The 19,173-nt window shown below is 56.2% G+C and overlaps 1 annotated feature.

Annotated features, from left to right (window-relative positions):
- Nucleotides 17,224-17,724: an enhancer, noted in NCBI's record as "H3K4me1 hESC enhancer chr12:132638821-132639321 (GRCh37/hg19 assembly coordinates)". NCBI's record gives its function as "activates a minimal SCP1, AML or CMV promoter by ChIP-STARR-seq in naive and primed H9 embryonic stem cells {active_cell/tissue: H9 hESC(naive and primed)}" and the evidence as "EXISTENCE:reporter gene assay evidence [ECO:0000049][PMID:30033119]".

Below are 19,173 nucleotides of genomic sequence, written 5' to 3'. Positions count from 1 at the left end.
ATTCAGCATCTGCCTCATAAGCTTGTGGGGTAAGATGAAGCTGCACTCAGGCGTCTGGAGCAGCCTCCGGCCCTGAGCAAGCCTGAGATGGAGGGGCATGGTCGTGTAATTCCCTCTTTCCTCAGCAGCCGCACAGAGGGTCGGCCAGTGCCCTGCAGGGCCCCTGCCCTTGCTGAGCTCAGCACCCAGCAGGGAGACAGGAGGCCCACGGGCTCCAGGCCAGGCTGTGTGTGGAGAAGGAGGCGCAGAGACATGTACAGGTGGCTGACGGTAAGAGCAGGACTTCCGCATGGGGCAAGGGTAGGAAAATAACCTCCACTCCCACCCGTGATACCTTCGCTCTGAGCCCCACAGGGCCAAGAAAGCGCCTGAGCCTCCATCGGCCCTGGGAGGGCCCTGCTCTACTCGCCCCTTTGCAGATGAGCAAACACAGCTTCCGAGGAGTGGGGCTGCCTTCCCAGGGCTGCACCTGGGAGGGCCCGGGTGGCTCCGAGCTCCTGGCCTGGCCCCCTGGGGAGGTGACAGTGGGCAGGGCAGGGGCCTCTTGGCTACAGGCCCAGAACGGCTGAAAAATGTGGCCCTTCGGGGACTTTCGGATGCTTTGGAAGGGCTTCCAGTGTCCCTGGTGCCCCCTCACCCCCTGCCAGGTCTTCCCGGTCCCCACCCCCGACACCCCACACATCCCCACGTCTGTGGCCTCGAATGTGCAGGACACGCCTAGGCACGAACCCGACCTCGTCGGAAGCCGTCTCCACCAACACCATCATAGGTGGCCAGGCCTGGTCCCCCAGAGCTGCTCCCTGACCGGCAGCATCACAATTCAAGGCAGATGGAAACCGTCAACGTCTCCACATCGTAGCTACCATGCACGCGGCTGGGCAAGTTCCTCGGTGGGTCCCACGCAGCACTGCACAGCCTGATCTGGCAACAGCTCCACGGGCCCCAGGGACAGAAACTGAGGCCACACCGGTGTCTGCACGCGCGTTCTGCCTGGTGTTGGAGGGTGTGAGTGCACCTGTGCCTGCCTGTGTGTGCTGGTCTCATGGGTGTGCACATGTGTGATGTCCAGTACTCCTTAGGTGGCCAAAAGTCAATGCCCCTTGCTGACGCCCCAAGGTGCCGGGGTTCCCTCCCCAAAACGTGGTCGCGTTGGCTCTCTGGCTCAGCGTCATCGGAACCCGGGGTCCACCAGCCTCCCGCTGGACGGGGCATGGTCCTCGTCCTCATGGGGCTGCAGGGCAGCCAATGTCCTCTTGTTCCCCCCCTCTCCACACACACACCGGGGGACTTCATTTGTGGCCACAGGGTCCCCTGCCGTGCAAACTGTCTCCAGCTCACTCTTTGGCCAGTGACAAGCGTGTTCACCTCCAGCACGGGACAGAACCTGGGAGTGTCTGCCAGGATGGAGAGGGCCCAGCCAGGGCCTGCCCAAGGCACCCCTGTGTATTAAAGGGACCTGCCCCGGGGACATTGGGGGATGGGGACAGAAAGGGGCTGGGGCCATGGCTCGACCACAGTGTGCTTGGAAAAATGTGACTGGAGGATGACGAGGCCGCCCCCGCCCAGCACCAGGCAGTACAGACCCGTTTCCCAGGAGGAGCGGGCCAGGATGTGTGTGGCGGCCAAGGCTGGGGCTGGCGACTTTCTACTCATCTGCTCATTAGATCCGCAAAGTAAATTGCGTTTCTCATAATTCTGCTATCGACTGCCATGTACTTTGTGGTCTGGCACGGGGAGAAAAGAATTTACCCAGAGCAGAGAAATCTGTGTAAATAAATGCATCATTAAGAATTCCTGTAACCGTCAGAAAGGCTGATTAATGGCACTTTTGCTAGTGCAGGAAGAGGGCTGACATCACAACGTTCCTTACTGAGAATGAGGCCTGAGCCCAGCCTACAGAAGGAGGGTGTGAGCCCCGAATCGCTCTCCTGATTAGAACTTGTTCCAAGTATTGACTGGGTCGAAAGAAACAAAATTTAATTTGAAATCAATTCCAGAGCATAAAATTGACCTCAGTTGTGTGTGCTCAGAAGCCACCAGGCCAGTCTGCGAGTTCTTGGTCCAGGCTAGGGGCATCAGACCTCCAGCTGCCCTCCCCACCAGGGAACATGTCCACCCTGCAGAGACTCACAGGATCCCCTCTGCCTTTGCCCTTCTTTTGGGGCGTGGTGGGAGTGCAGAGAGAGCGCCCTCATGAGACCCAGGGTCCTTCCACCCATGCCCCTCAAGCCCACGCCCCACTCAGGTCAGCTCTCCTACCAGGACCCAGGTGCCATGGGAGGTGGGGGGCCAGCAGCCTCAGGGGCCCCCGTGTCAGATGGACAGAGGTTATGCCGCAGACGTCCTGGCCGACATCCGGGGTTTGGGGCCACCTGCCAGTCTCACCTGCCACTGCCCGTGCTGGACACGTGATTCTGGCGGTGGCCCAGGCTCAGGGAGGAACTCAGGCCAGCAGCCAGGAGGGGCAGGTGGGAGCTGCTCAGAGGAGCTGAGACCCCTCAGCGTCCCCGCCCTGGGGTGCCTGCCACGGGCAGGGGCTGTGTTCCCTAAAGAACACTGGCCGGCTCCGGCCCTGGCTCCCCGCTGTCTCCCCCTGCCACGCAGCCCACCCTCCCCGAGGTCTCCCCCTGCCACGCAGCCCACCCTCCCTGAGGTCTCCCCCCTGCCACGTGGCCCACCCTCCCCGCTGTCTCCCCCCTGCCACGTGGCCCGCCCTCCCTGCTTCTCCCCCTGCCACGTGGCCCACCCTCCCCGCTGTCTCCCCCCTGCCACGTGGCCCGCCCTCCCTGCTTCTCCCCCTGCCACGTGGCCCACCCTCCCCGCTGTCTCCCCCTGCCACACGGCCCACCTTCCCCAGAAAGCACCTTGGGGTGGGGCCAGGACCAGGGGCCCCTGGCACGTGGGAGTCACACCCAGGACTCAGTGGCCCCCAGCTCGGTGCACAGACGCCAGGGCCAGCCGGGAGGGGCAGGGTGCTGGCCACCACAGGGGCTCCTATCCCCCAGATCCCTCAGTGCACTCCGCCAGAGGGCCGGGACCCCACCAGAAAGGGAGCCGGTGCGGCACAGCAGGCAGGGTGCACCCGGGACTCTGCATTTCTAAGAAGGCTCAGCCGGTGCTGGTGCTCCTGGCCCTGTGACCACGTGGAGCCATCCCACCACCCGCCGTGGGAGCAGACGCCCTCCCTGCTGGCCCCATGAAAGGCCCACGGGGTCCCTGGCCCACAACCCAACTCCTTCCCAACCCCGCATCCTGCTCCCTGGCATCAAGAAAGGATGTACCCCCAGAGCCAGGGACAGCCTCAGCCCCGGCACCATCGGAGTTGGGGCCCCGGCTTCTAAGCCTGGCGCCAGCACAGCCCAGGCAGCTCCTCCGACGTGAGGCTCCTCGGAAGGGCAGGCTTTGCCGGGCTCCTGCCGTCTGGGTCTGTACTGCAGTCGGCAGTCCCCACCCACGCTCAGCAGCCCTGGCCCAGCAATGGACTATCCCGTTATCCCGGCCTAGACCCCGTCTCAGCATCGGCCCCCAGAGGACCCCAGTGGGCCCCCCTCCCCACAAGCTCACTGTGCTGGGACGTGTGGCCGGCCTCACTGTGACTTGCAGAAAGCCCATGGAGAAGGCTGTTCCCAACCCGTTTCACTCAGGGGAAACTGAGGCTCAGGACCTCAGTGGCGAGCAAGAGGGCTGGCTGCAGAGCCCCTCCTCCCAGCTTGTTCATCTCCTCCAGTCCAGCCCAACCAAAGGCCACAGCTGGGAAGCCCCGTGGGCCTGAGGCTCAGCAGCGTTCCTGGGGACCCTCGTCCAGCCCCGCTGACGCTGCCGCCAGACCAGCTCTGACCTGGGAAGAGCCCAGAAGGCTCAGCCCCCAGGCCAGAAAGTGACTGCCCCCACATCCTGCCCTCCACAGCCACTCCAGCGCCTCCCCGACCCCTACACTCAGCTGTGTCTCGGGATCCCCAGGTTTCAATCCCTGCCAGGTTTCCAGAAATGCTGATTCACCTCGGAAACCGCACGTGCTGTGGGCGTGCACATCTGGCGAGAACAAAGCCATCGTGGGCAACCCTTGGGGACGCTGTTTCGGCCTCGTGTGTTGTTATTAAACCTACCGATTTCCGCCTGGGTTCTGGCCCACGTGACCTCCTCTGCTGCTGTGTGAATGGCCCCCGTCCTGCACACTTACCGCCCCAGCAAATCCCAATGCCAGCTCTGCCTCCCTGCCACCGGCCACTCTCCTTCCAGCTTGCCCTTGAGAGGCTCAGGGCTCCGGGCAGGGAAGAGGCTGCAGAGAGGGAGGGTGGCCCCGAGCCGGGTGTTTTCCCAAAAGCTCCTCGCTTGGGTGCCCACCCTAGGTGGAGGAGTGACCCCTTCAGGCTCACAGCTGCGGCCGCCTACTGCCTTCTAACAAGAACCCCACAGCTGAGTGGCTTAAGCAATGCCAATCACTTTATCTCCTCCCTTGGATTCTGTGGTCGGAGTGTCTGGCTCAAGGAGAGGAAGAGTAGGGCCCAGAGGTCTCTCTGCGTTGCCATTTCAGCATGGCAGCTTCGGGTGCCTGTGCTGCTCGGTGGCCTGGGACTCTGGAGGAGGGAGTCCCCAGACACACCTGCAAACAATGCATGGCTGTGCCCAACAGCCTCAGCACGCACAGGCAGAAACGAGGTTCCGCCTCACCAGCCATCAGAGAGACCCACTCAAACCACAGGGAGACTGCACTTCACCACCAAGGGATGGCGCAGATGGATGATGAGTGGATGGATGGGTGAATGGGTGATGGATGGATGGATGGATGGATGGATGGATGAATGAATGTATGATGGATGGACGGCTGGGTGGATGAATGGATGGATAAGGGATGGGTGGGTGGATGGATGATGGATGGGGGGGTGGATGGATGGATAGGTAAATGGATGGATGGGTGGGTGATGGGTGGATGGAAGGATGAATGAATGTATGATGGATGGCTGGGTGAATGGATAATGGATGGATGGGTGAATGGATGGATGGGTGGGTGATGGATGATGGATGGGTAGGTGGATGATGGATGGATGGGTGGATGGGTGGGTGGATGGATGGATGGGTGGATGGATGGATGGGTGAATGGATGGATGGCTGGGTGGATGGACGGATGGATGATGGATGGGTGGGTGGATGGATGGATGGGTGAATGGATGGAAGGGATGGATGGATGGATGAATGAATGTATGATGGATGGATGGCTGGGTGGATGATGGATGGGTGGGTGGATGGATGGATGGGTGAATGGATGGATGGATGAATGTATGATGGATGGGTGGGTGGATGGATGGATGGGTGAATGGATGGATGATGGGTGGGTGGGTGGATGGATGGATGATGGGTGGGTGGGTGGGTGGATGTATGGATGGCTGGATGGATGGATGGATGAATGAATGTATGATGGATGGCTGGGTGGATGAGGGATGGGTGGGTGGATGGATGGCTGGGTGGATGGATGATGGATGGATGGATGATGGGTGGGTGGGTGGGTGGATGTATGGATGGCTGGCTGGCTGGATGGATGGATGGGTGGATGGATGAATAGATGGAAGAATGTATGATGGATGGCTGGGTGGATGAAGGATGGGTGGGTGGATGGATTGATGGGTGGATGGATGGATGAATGGGTGATGGATGGATGAATGAATGTATGACGGATGGCTGGGTGGATGGATGATGGATGGATGGGTGGGTGATGGGTGGATGGATGGATGAGTGGATGAATGGTGGCTGGATGGATAATGGATGGGTGGGTGGGTGGCTGGATGATGGATGCATGGATGGGTGAATGAATGGATGGATGGGTAGGTGATAGTGTGCAGGAAAAGTTAAATATTAAATTTGAACTAAATTCAACGTGGAAACTAACAATGGTCACCAAGTCCTGGAACAGGTCGTGTGAGTCCCTTGAGGCATTCATCCAGTGCTGTTTCAGAGAAATCTCTATTTCAATCTATTCCTATACATTAGTTATTGAAAAACAACAGACAATTGCAAGAACAAGTTGACCTTTTTGCGTTCCTTGAGCCTGGTCGCGAAGGGCCCTTGTGACTAGGCCTCATGAAAAAACAACTCGTTACAAAAAGAGCTCAGGTCCCAGACCGTGCCAAAGATTCATGAGACCTCTCCCCATCTGTGCACAGACAGGCAGCCGACTCTGGAGCCCAGGCTGTTGCTTCCCAGTCTGGTGGTGAATCCTCCATAGTCTGGTGAGTATACATATATATATATTTAAATATATATATAAATATGTATATTTAAATATATTTATATATATTTATATATTTATATATAAATATATATTTAAATATACATATATATAAATATATATATTTAAATATACATATTTAAATATATTTAAATATATTTAAATATATAAACATATATAATATATTTATTTATGTATATAAATATATATAATATATATTTAAATATATTTATTTATGTATATGAATATATATAATATATATTTAAATATATTTATTTATGTATATGAATATATATAATATATATTTAAATATATTTATTTATGTATATGAATATATAATATATATTTAAATATATTTATGTATTTAAATATATATAAATATATATTTAAATATATTTATATATAAACATATATTTAAATATATTTATATATAAATATATAATATATATTATATATTTATACATAAATATATATAATATACATTTATATATAAACATATATAATATACATTTATATATGAATGTATAATATACATTCATATATAAATATATATAAATGTATATAATATACATTTATATATATAAATATACATAATATACATTTATATATATAAATATACATAATATACATTTATATATAAATACATATATTTATATATTTATATATATAATGTATATTATATATAATATATATTTATATATTATATATAATATACATTATATATATAAATATATAAATATATTATATATGTAAATATGATATATATTTAAATATGTAAATATATGATATATATTTAAATATGTAAATATATGATATATATTTAAATATGTAAATATATGATATATATTTAAATATGTACTATATTTATATATTATATATTTATAACATACATTATATATATTTATATAATATATAATATATAATATAAATATATATATATTTTTTCCCTTTTCCCCTTCCCATTGCAATTTGCTTATTATATATCTCCACTGCCATTTACGTGGAATAAAGGTTGTTTACCGTTACAGGTATTGTGTGTCTTTTCTTCTCCCCTCACGCATCTCCTGCACAGAACAGATGGATGGGTAGATGGATGGATGTGTGGATGATGGGTGGATGAATGGATGATGGATGGATGGCTGGATGGATGATGGATGGGTGGATAGATGGATGGCTAGGTAGACGGATGATGGATGGATGGCTGGGTGGATGGGTGGGTGGGTGGACGGATGATGGATGGGTCAACGGATGGATGAGTGGTTGATGGACGGATGGGTGGATGGATGGGTAAGTGATAGATTAGCTAAGTGGCAGATACAGATAGATAAATGATACAGATATATATGATTGATCAATGAATATAGATGATAGACATAGGATAGAGATCATCAATATAGATAGATGTGGCAGACAGGTAAGTAATAGATTGAAATAGACAAATAGAGATAGGTAGAGAGATAGAATAGATAGCAGATATGATAGAGAGATCACAGAGATAGAGAGATAGGGGAGAGAGATGATTGAGAGAGACAGAGAGAGATGGAAGGGACCAGTGCTGGCGGGGATGTGGAGAACTTGGACCCTTGTGCCCTGCTGGTGGGATGTCAATGGTGCACCCACTGTGGAAAACTGTCTGGAGAGTCCTGAACACATTAGATGTGGAATTACCACAGGATGGCAGCCACGCGGCACGTCCCTGAGCAGCCGGGAGCCCAGCGACTCTTCTTTAACAGTACGAACACGGTGAGACTGCTGGGCCATTTATCCAGTTAGTGACAGGACAAAACCAAATTCCAGAGGCCGTGCCACCTGCACGCCCAGGCTCTGCGGTAATTCCTGGCTTTGTTAGCCATGGGGCTAACCAGGGCTGAGCCACCCATGAGGCACCTTCCTGGAGGCTGGGGTGTCACCCTCTGCGCCCCGATGCGGGCCCCATTATGTGGGTGACCTGCGCCCAGGGGACCCTGGGCAGCCTGCAAGTGAGCGTGGTTCAGGGCTGGGCCACACATCCTGGCTCTGCACAGCACCTACCTGGTTTTTGGTTACTCACCTGTCCTTTAAAATATGTGTAGAGCAGGGAGAGGAGCTCACATGGCAGGGGCAGCCCACGCAGGGTGGCAAGGGCACAGGTGCGAGCTCAGGTGATGCTGCTCCTCTGGGGCAGGCCAGGCACCCGTCCTGGGGGGCGTCCTGCAGCCCCTATACCCCCTGGCCTGAGCAGCCCCCATTCTGCCAGAGCAGCAGGGCCCCACCTTCCTGCGGGGCACCTGCCCTCCCCACGGGCAGCTCAGTGCATGACAGCTCTGACCCAGCATCAACTGAGAATGCTTCTGGGGGAAGGAAACTAAAAGGCATTGGAGTGGCTCGGACCTGCAGGATGGAGCTGCGCCCAGTACAGGGCGGAGTCGAAGTGGCTCGGACCTGCAGGATGGAGCTGTGCCCAGCACAGGGCGGAGTCGAGGTCCCACAGGTGGGGAGGACCCGGCAGCTAGGGATGGAGCCACCTGGGGCTAGAAACAGAACGACAGGGTCAGGGGAGGAACAGACATGCAGGAGGGACAGTGAGGGAGGTGACGCGGCCATGGGTGAGGTCAGGGCCCAGGGAAGCTCCCAATGGCTCCGGAGCCAGGGCTCACCAGCAGCCAAGCACCGGGATGGAGGGGATGCTCAGCAAGGGCTTCCCGCCTTCCAGAAAAGGCGACATCCACCCTCATGGCCCAAATGGGAGGGTTTGGGGAAGGAATTTCAGAAGGGCCCCTGCCCCCGCCCTGCCCATGACTTCGGTGGCTGATCCCACTCTCCATGAGGCGTCTGCTGTGGCTGCATTGCCCGGGAGCCAGCTGGGCTGGGAGGGCAGGGACAACTCGGACTCTGTGTGCCCCCACTGCCTGGGAAGGCGGCCAACACCGCTTTTGAATTTTAAATGAAACCAAAATTGACTGCGGTAGCGGGGAAATATTTCCTAACACAGTAATTTCCCTCAGAGTGCAGTTGCCACATCAATAAAAATAAACAGCTCTGTAGTGGCCACAGCTCAGGAAGCAGGCAGAGCACAGGCTGGCCCAGGAGGCTGCTTCCCTGGCTCCTACCTGCCTCCCACCTCCCCACGGGCCTCCCCGAGCCTCCTCACGGCAGGGCGGCTGGTGACCCGAGAGGGGTGGCTGGGGACAGCATGGAGGACAGGACAGCACCTCAGGACCGGATTCTGGATACACTGCACCCTCTCGTGCCAGGTGTTGGCAGTTCCGACCAAGCCCAGGCATGAGGGAGGGCCAGGCGGTGTGAGCCCGGGGGCATCCTGGGGGTCGTTCTGGAGGCCAGAAGCTGCAGGTGACAAAATAATGTGTGACGAGGGGGATTTGAGAGTAGCAGAGAGGAATGTGTCCTATGTCTGCCAAAAAGAAAGAAAAGATGAGGGGAGAGGGGAGAGGAGACAAGAGAGGGGAGGGGAGAGGGGAGAGAGGAGAGGGGAGAGAGGAGAGGATCTGTGCAGGGCACATGTTTCCCGTCCCAGGGCAGGGAAGGACAGCCCCCAGGGCAGAGCTGTGGAACGCTGTTTTCTTCCCTCCTTGATGCTGTGGGTTGGCGGTGGCTGGATGCAGCCCCACCAAATGGGGGCTTCAGGTGGCTGCTGGGGTCCCAAGACAGCCAGGCTGAGAAAACCGAGGCAGGTGTCATGAGCCATGGTGGGGCTTCGGCTTTCTCACGATGTGGCGTCTCCACGCAGTGGAGGGCAGGGCAGGGCAGGGCCTCTGATGACCCAGCCGCAGAGTCCAGTGCGAGGAACAGCTCAGTGAGGAGGGGCTGAGTGGAGAGGAGCTGAGGGAAGAGGGGCTGAGTGGGGAGGGGCTGAGTGGGGAGGAGTGATGACCCAGCCGCAGAGTCCAGTGCGAGGAACAGCTCAGTGAGGAGGGGCTGAGTGGGGAGGAGCTGAGTGAGGAGGAGCTGAGGGCGGAGGAGCTGAGGGAGTAGGAGCTGAGTGGGGAGGAGCTGAGTGGGGAGGAGCTGAGTGAGGAGGAGCTGAGGGAGGAGGAGCTGAGGGAGGAGGAGCTGAGGGAGGAGGAGCTGAGGGAGGAGGAGCTGAGGAAGGAGGAGGTGACGGAGGAGAAGCTGAGGAGGAGCTGAGAGAGGAGGAGCTGAGGGAGGAGGAGCTGAGGGAGGAGGAGCTGAGTGAGGAGGAGCTGAGTGGGGAGGAGCTGAGGGCGGAGGAGCTGAGTGAGGAGGAGCTGAGGGAGGAGGAGCTGAGGGAGGAGGAGCTGAGGAAGGAGGAGGTGACGGAGGAGGAGCTGAGGAGCTGAGGGAGGAGGAGCTGAGGGAGGAGGAGCTGAGGGAGGAGGAGGTGAGGGAGGAGGAGGTGAGGGACGAGGAGCTGAGGGAGGAGGAGCTGAGGGAGGAGGAGCTGAGGGAGGAGGAGCTGAGTGGGGAGGAGCTGAGGAAGGAGGAACTGAGTGGGGAGGAGCTGAGCGAGGAGGAGCTGAGGGAGGAGGAGCTAAGGGAGGAGGAGCTGAGTGGGGAGGAACTGAGTGGGGAGGAGCTGGGTCCAGGGCAGAGCCAGGATGCTGGAGGCCGCAGCATCTTTATCGGTGGGGTCAGGGGTCACCACACGGAATCTTTTTGCCGGGATCTGAGGCTGGAGACTGCGGGAAGCTCTCAGGGGAGGGCCTGCGGTGGAGCAGGCCTGGTGGGAGGCGGCCAGCAGGAGAAGAGATGAGGGCCCAGGGAACGGGAAGGGCGGGGGCTTCGGCCAGAGGGGGCCAGGAGCTGGGGGAATGTGGGAGGAGGACAGTCGGTCCCAAGATCACTCCCTGTCTCCGGGCCCCTCTGGCCACCAGGTCCTGCCACCAGGTCCTGCCACCATCCAGCCTGCCTTGCTTCCACCGCCCCGTCTGTGGGGCTGTCAGGCACTTCCCACATGGGCACGCAGGGCTCCTGAGCCTGGCTGTCCTCCGACACCAGCTGGGGGAACCTGCCAGCACCCGGCTCTTCCTTCTTGATCACACCTTGCACAGGTATTGCAAGGACAGGCGGAGGGCACTGGGCTGTGAACTCTCACGCCACCGTGCCGCACGCACTGGGACAGTGGACACTGCCTCTCCGGACTTCCTGAAGGGCTGACAGGGAAGGGGACGAGGCTGTCCCACCAGGGACAGTCCCCCCACCACCTCTGTGAAGAAGCTCCCAGCCTGTCCTGAGGGTGCTGCAACCCTGGGCTGGACCCTCTGTCCCCTGGTTTCCAGGAGACCCCGACAGAGCCCCCCGAGCCCACCCACTCCACCCCCTCGCTTTCTGCCGGTTCCATTGGGCTCAGGGCCTGCAGATCTGGAAGAGGATGCCTGGTCCCGTGGCCCCCGCACCGTTATCTCTTCATTACTTTTTCCTCTTATCTACCCAGTTTCCATTCTCTCATGCAGCCGGAACCACTGGACTAGAATGACAGCAGGATCAGCCCAGCACCGCGCCACCGCCTCCCCGTCTGCCTGCCAGCCAGTAGGGCTTCAGCCACTCACCAGCTGTCCCAAGCAGCAAAGCCCGTCGGGCCTCGGGGAGCACTGTCTGTGGCAGTTCACAGCTCCTTCCCCGACACTGTCACGTGCCTGAGTGGCCCAGACAGCAATCGGCCAGCATGCTGAGCAGAGCTGGGAGCAGGGTGGACCTGGCAGAGCACTCCCCAGCTGGGGTGAAGAGGGCTCGCCCAGCGTGGGCATGGGCGGCTGCCTAGACACCCACGTGAGCACTGCCCAAGCTCTGGGGAAACGAATGAAAGAAGGAAAAGGGGCCGAGAGAGGCGAGAAGAGAACAATGCTGTTTCAGTCCCAGGTCCAATCACACCTGCTGCCAGCCCCATCTGTTCACATCTCATTCCCCAGAGCCCGTGGCTGTGTCCCCCACGGGGCAGAAGAGACTCTGCAGGTGAGACCGGCTGAGGGTCTAGCAGGGGGTCCTCCTGGATGACCCCGGCCCAGTTCATCACATGGTCCTTACAGGATGGAGGCAGGAGAGGCAGAGGGAGCAGTGGCCGCAGCAGCAGAGGTCGGGGTGACAAGCAAGGGACCATGCCAGAGCCCAGGAGCACAGCAGACTCTGGAGCCCAAAGAAGTCAGCAACGAGTCTTCCCAGAACCCCCAGAGGTGCCCAACCCGCCCACACCTCCACACCCCGCCCTTCCACGCCCAGCCCCGCCCACATCTCCATGCCCTGCCCACACCTCCATGCCCCTCCACGCCCAGCCACACCCCGCCACGCCCATACCTCCATGCCAGCCCAGAGCAAAGCCTCTGACTATGCCTTCAGGGGACCTGCCACCTGCAGTATCAGAACTCGGACCACGAGCCCCCAGAGAACAGTGCTGCAGGGGACAGACCCCGGGGGGCCACAGCGAACGGGGAGCTTCCCGAGGTCTTCGAGGGGCGCCATCGAGACAGACGTGGTGCGGAGCACACAGGGGCAGTGGAGGCTCCGCGAGGCACCATCCTCAGCACAGGATGCCACCACAGAGACACTGGGACTGGAGGCATTGGGAGGGCAGCGGGGCCCCAGGGGTCTCCTGAAGGTCACCCGCCCAGCACCCCCCAAGACAGGCGCTACCGTGTGAGCTCCCCACAGCTGATGCAACAAGTCACCACAAGCCAGTGGCCTAGAACCATGCATCTTCATCACAGTCTGGCAGCCAGGAGACCGAGATGCTGTCCTGAGGCAGGTGTGGGCAGGTTGGGGCAAATATGGGCAGGTGTGGGCAGGCGGGGCCCTCAGAGACTCAGGGAGGACCCATTCCTGCCTTTTCCAGCTCCCAGAGGCCCCTGCTCCACCCTCGGAGCCGATGGATAGTTCCGGCCTCCGCCCTCCTCTTCACGCCTCTGACTAGGACACCGGCCACCGGACTGATGGCCCACCCTGAATGCAGGATGATCTCAGCTGGCTCCTTAATCTGCAAAGACCCTATTTCCAAATAAGGTCCACTCGCCGATGCTGGGGGCCAGGACGGGGACATCTCTTTCCGGGGGACACGTTAGCCCCCGTGAGATCCGAGGAGTGAACCCCACCCCCTGTGAAGGCTGCGGGATGAGGGGTCCCCGTAGGCACCCTGAAAACACCAGCAAAGCTGGTGCAGAACATCTAGGAAGACCAGGCAGGGTCAGAGGCATTTTGGGGGCCACCGCGTCACACGTGCAGGGAGGGCGCTGAGGAAGGTGGGTGGGGGCCCAGGGCCTGCGTGTGCGCGTGTGTGTGTGCGCATGTAGTGGTGTGTGTGTGTAATGGTGTGTGTGTGTAGTGGTGTGTGCATGTAGTGGTGTGTGTACGTAGTGGTGTATGTAGTGGTGTGCGTGTAGTGGTGTGTGTGTGTGTAGTGTGTGTGTAGTGGTGTGTGTAGTGTGTGTGTAATGGTGTGTGTGTAGTGGTGTGTATGTGTAGTGTGTGCATAGTGGTGTGTGTGTGTAGTGTGTGTAGTGGTGTGTGTGTGTAGTGTGTAGTGGTCTGTATGTATAGTGTGTGCATAGTGATGTGTGTAGTGTGTGTAGTAGTGTGTGTGTAGTGTGTGTAGTCGTGTGCGTAGTGTGTGTGTAATGGTGTGTGCGTGTAGTGGTATGTATGTGTAGTGTGCATAGTGTGTGTGTAGTGTGTGTGTAGTGTGTGTGTAATGGTGTGGGTGTAGTGATGTGTAGTGGTGTGTGTAGTGTAATGGTGTGTGTGTGTAGTGGTGTGTATGTGTAGTGTGCATAGTGGTGTGTGTGTAGTGTAGTGGTGTGTGTAGTGTGTGTAGTGGTGTGTGCATAGTGGTGTGTGTTGCGTGTGTGTAGTGGTGTGTGTAGTGGCGTGTATGTGTAGTGTGTGCATAGTGGTGTGTGTAGTGTGTAGTGGTGTGTGTGTAGTGTGTAGTGTGTGTAGTGTGTGTGTAATGGTGTGTGTGTAGTGGTATGTGTAGTGTGTGCATAGTGGTGTGTGTGTAGTGTGTAGTGGTGTGTAGTGTGTGTGTAGTGGTGTCTAATGGTGTGTGTAGTGGTGTGTATGTGTAGTGTGTACATAGTGGTGTGTGTGTAGTGTGTAGTGGTGTGTGTAGTGTAATGTGTGTGTAGTGGTGTGTGTAGTGTGTGTGTAATGGTGTGTGTGTAGTGGTGTGTATGTGTAGTGTGTGCATAGTGGTGTGTGTGTGTAGTGTGTGTGTAGTGGTGTGTGTAGTGTGTGTGTAATGGTGTGTGTGTAGTGTGTGCATAGTGGTGTGTAGTGGTGTGTGTAGTGTGTGTGTAATGGTGTGTGTGTAGTGGTGTGTAGTGGTGTGTGTAGTGTGTGTGTAATGGTGTGTGTGTAGTGGTGTGTAGTGGTGTGTGTAGTGTGTGTGTAATGGTGTGTGAGTGTAGTGGTGTGTGTATGTAGTGTGCATAGTGGTGTGTGTAGTGTAGTGGTGTGTGTGTAGTGTGTGTGTAGTGGTGTTTGTAGTGTGTGTGTAATGGTGTGTGTAGTGGTGTGTATGTGTAGTGTGTGCAGTGGTGTGTGTAGTGTGTGTGTAATGGTGTGTGCGTGTAGTGGTGTGTGTAGTGTGTGTAATGCTGTGTGTGTGTAGTGGTGTGTGTAGTGTGTGCGTGTAGTGGTGTGTGTAGTGTGTGTAATGGTGTGTGTGTAGTGGTGTATGTGTAGTGTGTGCATAGTGGAGTGTGTAGTGTGTGTAATGTGTGTAGTGTGTGTGTAGTGGTGTAGTGTGTGCCTGTAGTGTGTGTAGTGTGTGTGTAGCGTAATGTGTGTGTAGTGGTGTGTATGTGTGTGCATAGTGGTGTGTGTAGTGTGTAATGGTGTGTGTGTAGTGGTGTGTGTGTAGTGTGTAGTGGTGCGTGTGTGTAGTGGTGCGTGTGTAGTGGTGTGTGTAGTGGTTGTGTGTAGTGTGTGTAGTGGTGTGTGTAGTGTGTGCGTGTAGTGGTGTGTGTAGTGTGTGTGTAGTGGTTGTGTGTTGTGTGTAGTGGTGTGTGTAGTGTGTAGTGGCGTGTAGTGGTGTGTGTAGTGGTGTATGCAGTGGTGTGTATGCAGTGGTGTGTAGTGGTGTGTGTGTAGTGTGTGTAGTGTGTGTGTGTAGTGGTGTGTGTAGTGTGTGTGTAGTGGTGTGTGTAGTGTGTGTAGTGGTTTGTATGTTGTGTGTGTAGTGTGTGTACTGTGCGTGTAGTGTGTGTAGTGGTGTGTGTAGTGGTGTGTGTAGTGGTGTATGTAGTGGTGTGTGTGTAGTGGTGTGTGTAGTGGTTGTGTGTAGTGTGTAGTGGTACGTGTAGTGGTTGTGTGTGTAGTGTGTGCGTGTAGTGTGTGTGTAGTGGTTGTGTGTGTAGTGTGTGTAGTGTGTGTAGTGTGTGTAGTGGTGTATGTAGTGTGTATGCAGTGGTGTGTGTGTAGTGGTGTGTGTAGTGTAGTGTGTGTAATGGTGTGTGTGGTGTGTGTGTGGTGTGTGTAGTGTGCGTGTAGTGGTTTGTATGTAGTGTGTGTGTAGTGGTGTGTGTACTGTGTGCGTGTAGTGTGTAGCGGTGTGTGTGTAGTGGTGTATGCAGTGTGTGTGTGTAGTGGTGTGTGTAGTGTGTGCGTGTAGTGTGTGTAGTGGTGTGTGTAGTGGTATGTAGTGTGTAGTGGTGTGTGTAGTGGTTTGTATGTAGTGTGTGTGTAGTGGTGTGTGTAGTGGTATATGTAGTGGTGTGTGTAGTGTGCGTGTAGTGGTGTGTGTGTGTAGTGTGTGTAGTGGTTTGTATGTAGTGTGTAGTGGTGTGTGTACTGTGTGTGTAGTATGTGTAGTGGTGTGTGTAGTGGTGTATGTAGTGTGTGTGTAGTGGTGTGTGTAGTGTGTGCGTGTAGTGGTGTGTGTGTGTAGTGTGTGTAGTGGTTTGTATGTAGTGTGTAGTGGTGTGTGTACTGTGCGTGTAGTGTGAGTAGTGGTGTGTGTAGTGGTGTATCTAGTGTGTGTAGTGGTGTGTGTGTGTAGTGGTGTGTGTAGTGTGTGTAGTGGTGTGTGTACTGTGTGCGTGTAGTGTGTGTAGTGGTGTGTGTACTGTGTGCGTGTAGTGTGTGTAGTGGTGTGTGTAGTGGTGTAGTGTGTGTAGTGTGTGTGTGTAGTGGTGTGTGTAGTGTGTGTAGTGGTGTGTGTAGTGGTGTATCTAGTGTGTGTAGTGGTGTGTATGTAGCGGTGTGTGTCATGTTGCATGGTGAGCTCTAACGACCCCAGCCCCCAACACCCAACTCTACCTCCTGCCACCCGGAGTGCAGGCGAGCCGTCCCCACCAAGTCCACACTGCAGGTTCACGAGCGAAATCAGTGCTGCTGCAGTTCCACACCGCTACGTTCTGAAGTCACTTTCTGAGCATAGACCCTGGCAGCACACTCTGCAGATGGGACAACTGAGGCCTGGGGCCGTGCCACCCTCCCAGCCGGGAGTGGAGCCCGCGCCGTTGGAGACCGGCATGGCCTTCACCGTGGGCTGCTGGCCCCAGTGGGGGAAGACCCAGACACCGCAGGGAACGGACACGCTCCTCGCTGTCCAGCGGGAATCGCTTACCGCCGGGGCCTTCGCCACAGCTCCCAGCACGACCGACGCTCGGGAAACGACTGCTGATTCTCCGCAGCTGATTTCCTCAACGCCAATTAAACGCTCCAGCGTCCCTTATCGCCGGAACGCGCGCTCCACAGCTCTTCAGCTATCCCTCATTACGGATGTAGCTGTGACTTCACTGTCCGGCAGCCGCGTTCATTTCCTGAAGGGAGACCCGGAATCGGGGGACGGGAGGAGAGGGAGAGACAAGACAGAGAGGGAGCGGGGGAAGCACAGGGGGAGAGAGGCCCCACTGGTGCGGCGCTGTTCTCCGTGTGCAGTGAGGACACCGCCGGGTACACGCAGGTGCCGGCTGGGTATTGGCCTCATAGGTGATTGAAGGGGCCCCTGGAATTTCTCTAAGATTCTGGAACTGACGGTGTCTCAGTCCGTCTGCACCACTGTTACAGGTTACCTGAGAGCAGGTAACTTCTAAAAAGTGACACTGTCTTCTCTCCAGTTCCGCAGGCCGGGAAGTCCAGGATGAAGGCACCAGCCTCTAGCGAGGGCCTCCTGGCTGCGCCCAACCTGACAGGAGGCCAAAGGCCAGAGAGCAGCCGGCTCAGCACCACGTGAAGAATCCACTTTTACAAAGGCCTGAATCCCATTAACAAGGATGGCGCCCTTGCGGACGAGGCACTCCTAACACCGCCTGGTGGGCAGCACCTGGATCTGGGAGGGCAGGCGCTCCTCCACAGCACAGGGGACGTCCCCGTGCTCTCGGGGATGGCGGCAACACCTGTATTTCAGAGGGCATGCGCTCCTCGGGGGCAGCACCTGGATCTCGGAGAGCACACGCTCCTCCACAGCACAGGGGACGTCCCCGTGCTCTCAGAGATGGGGGTCACCAGCCAGGGAGAGGGGACCTCAGGCGGTGAAGGAGGTCCCTGTTCATGCCCGGCTCATGCGGGGAACACAGGGAGCAGAGGACCGAACACGGTTACGTGGAGGTTGCTAGACACAGAGCCCCTCTGACGACAGAATCCAAGCCTGGCTGACTCGGAGGCGCTTTCACTCTCCTCCTGGCCTCGCCCATCATCCGAGATCCGCCTAACAGCCCAGCACAAACCCTCCGTGATGTCAGGAGGGAGGCCCTGGCTGAATCCGAGCAGGAAATACTGCAGACCCCGGCGAGGTGAAACCTAGCAGGGCAGCTCGGGCGCTGCAGGCCTGGGCAAGGCTGCAGCGGCCTCTGGTGGCCGCATGAGCTCAGGATGCCAGCACCTAGGCCCAGCCCTGCCCCAGGAGCCCAAGGAGGGCGGGGAGGGGGGCCAGGGCTCTGGAGCGTACCCGGTGTGACAGGCTGCCTGGGACACAGCAAGAGGACGGGCCCTGTCTGCCCTGCTGCAGCGGGAGTGCTGAGAGGGCTCGGGCGGGACAGCATGAAGAGTGGGGAAGGAGGGGCGCCTGTGCAGGACTACCACGCACGGGGTACCAGGGAAGGCCTCCCGGGGGGACGGGGACGGGACGTTCAAACCAGGGCAACACAGGGAAAAGCGGCAGAGGCCACAGCTGTGGCTGGTGCAAAGGCCCTGGGGCAGGAGCCAGTTCACTTGAGGAGCCCGCTGGGGCAGAGGGAAGCAGCCAGGGGGATGCTGGGAGCAGAGGCAACATCTCCACCATCACTCTGCCCCCCAAAACCCCGCTGGGCACACGGAGGGTCCCGGCCAATGCTGGGCCGGCAGGGTGACACCCCCAAGCCACGGCCAAGGCACTCCCCGCCCTCCCCAGCCACACCCACGCGCACCAAGCTCTGTTCCAGTGCCCCATCCCACCCTGTCCTCGAATAAGCAGACTGTCAAAAGGAAACTGGGGGTCACTGTGTAGACAGAAAACCTAGTTTGTTTGGTATAAATTTGGTTCCCTAAAAATAAACACCCCGATAACAAGGCTGTGCTGCAGCCGGACCAGCGCCTCCCACAGCGGGGGAAACTCCACTGCAGCTGGACCAGGGCCTCCCACGGGGGTGGGGGCAGGGAACTCCAGAGGGGCCCAGGCACTGCCTGTAACTCTACGCAGCATCTACCCGGAACTCTACGCAGTATCCACCCGGGGCCTCTACACAGCACCCACCCGGAATTCTACGCACCATCCACCCAGAACTCCACGCGGCATCCACCCGGGGCCTCGCGGGGCTCCCAGAACGAAGGCCAGATCGGCAGGACACAGCCAGCGTGGGATGCTGACACTCACAGGAACCCCCGACTCACACCAACCCCCCACTGACACCAACACCCCCCACTCAAACCAACCTCCCATTCACACTAATCCTAACCCACCCCCCACACACACCACCCCCCCATTCACACCAACTCTCCCCTCACACCAACACCCCCACTCACAACCAAACTCCCCCCAGTCACACTGACCCCCCACTCACACCACCTCCCCTCACTCCCAC

The sequence above is a fragment of the Homo sapiens genome, chromosome 12 (genome assembly GCF_000001405.40).
Source record: "Homo sapiens chromosome 12, GRCh38.p14 Primary Assembly".
Classification (NCBI taxonomy): domain Eukaryota; kingdom Metazoa; phylum Chordata; class Mammalia; order Primates; family Hominidae; genus Homo; species Homo sapiens.
This window is presented reverse-complemented; position numbering and strand designations above follow the sequence as displayed.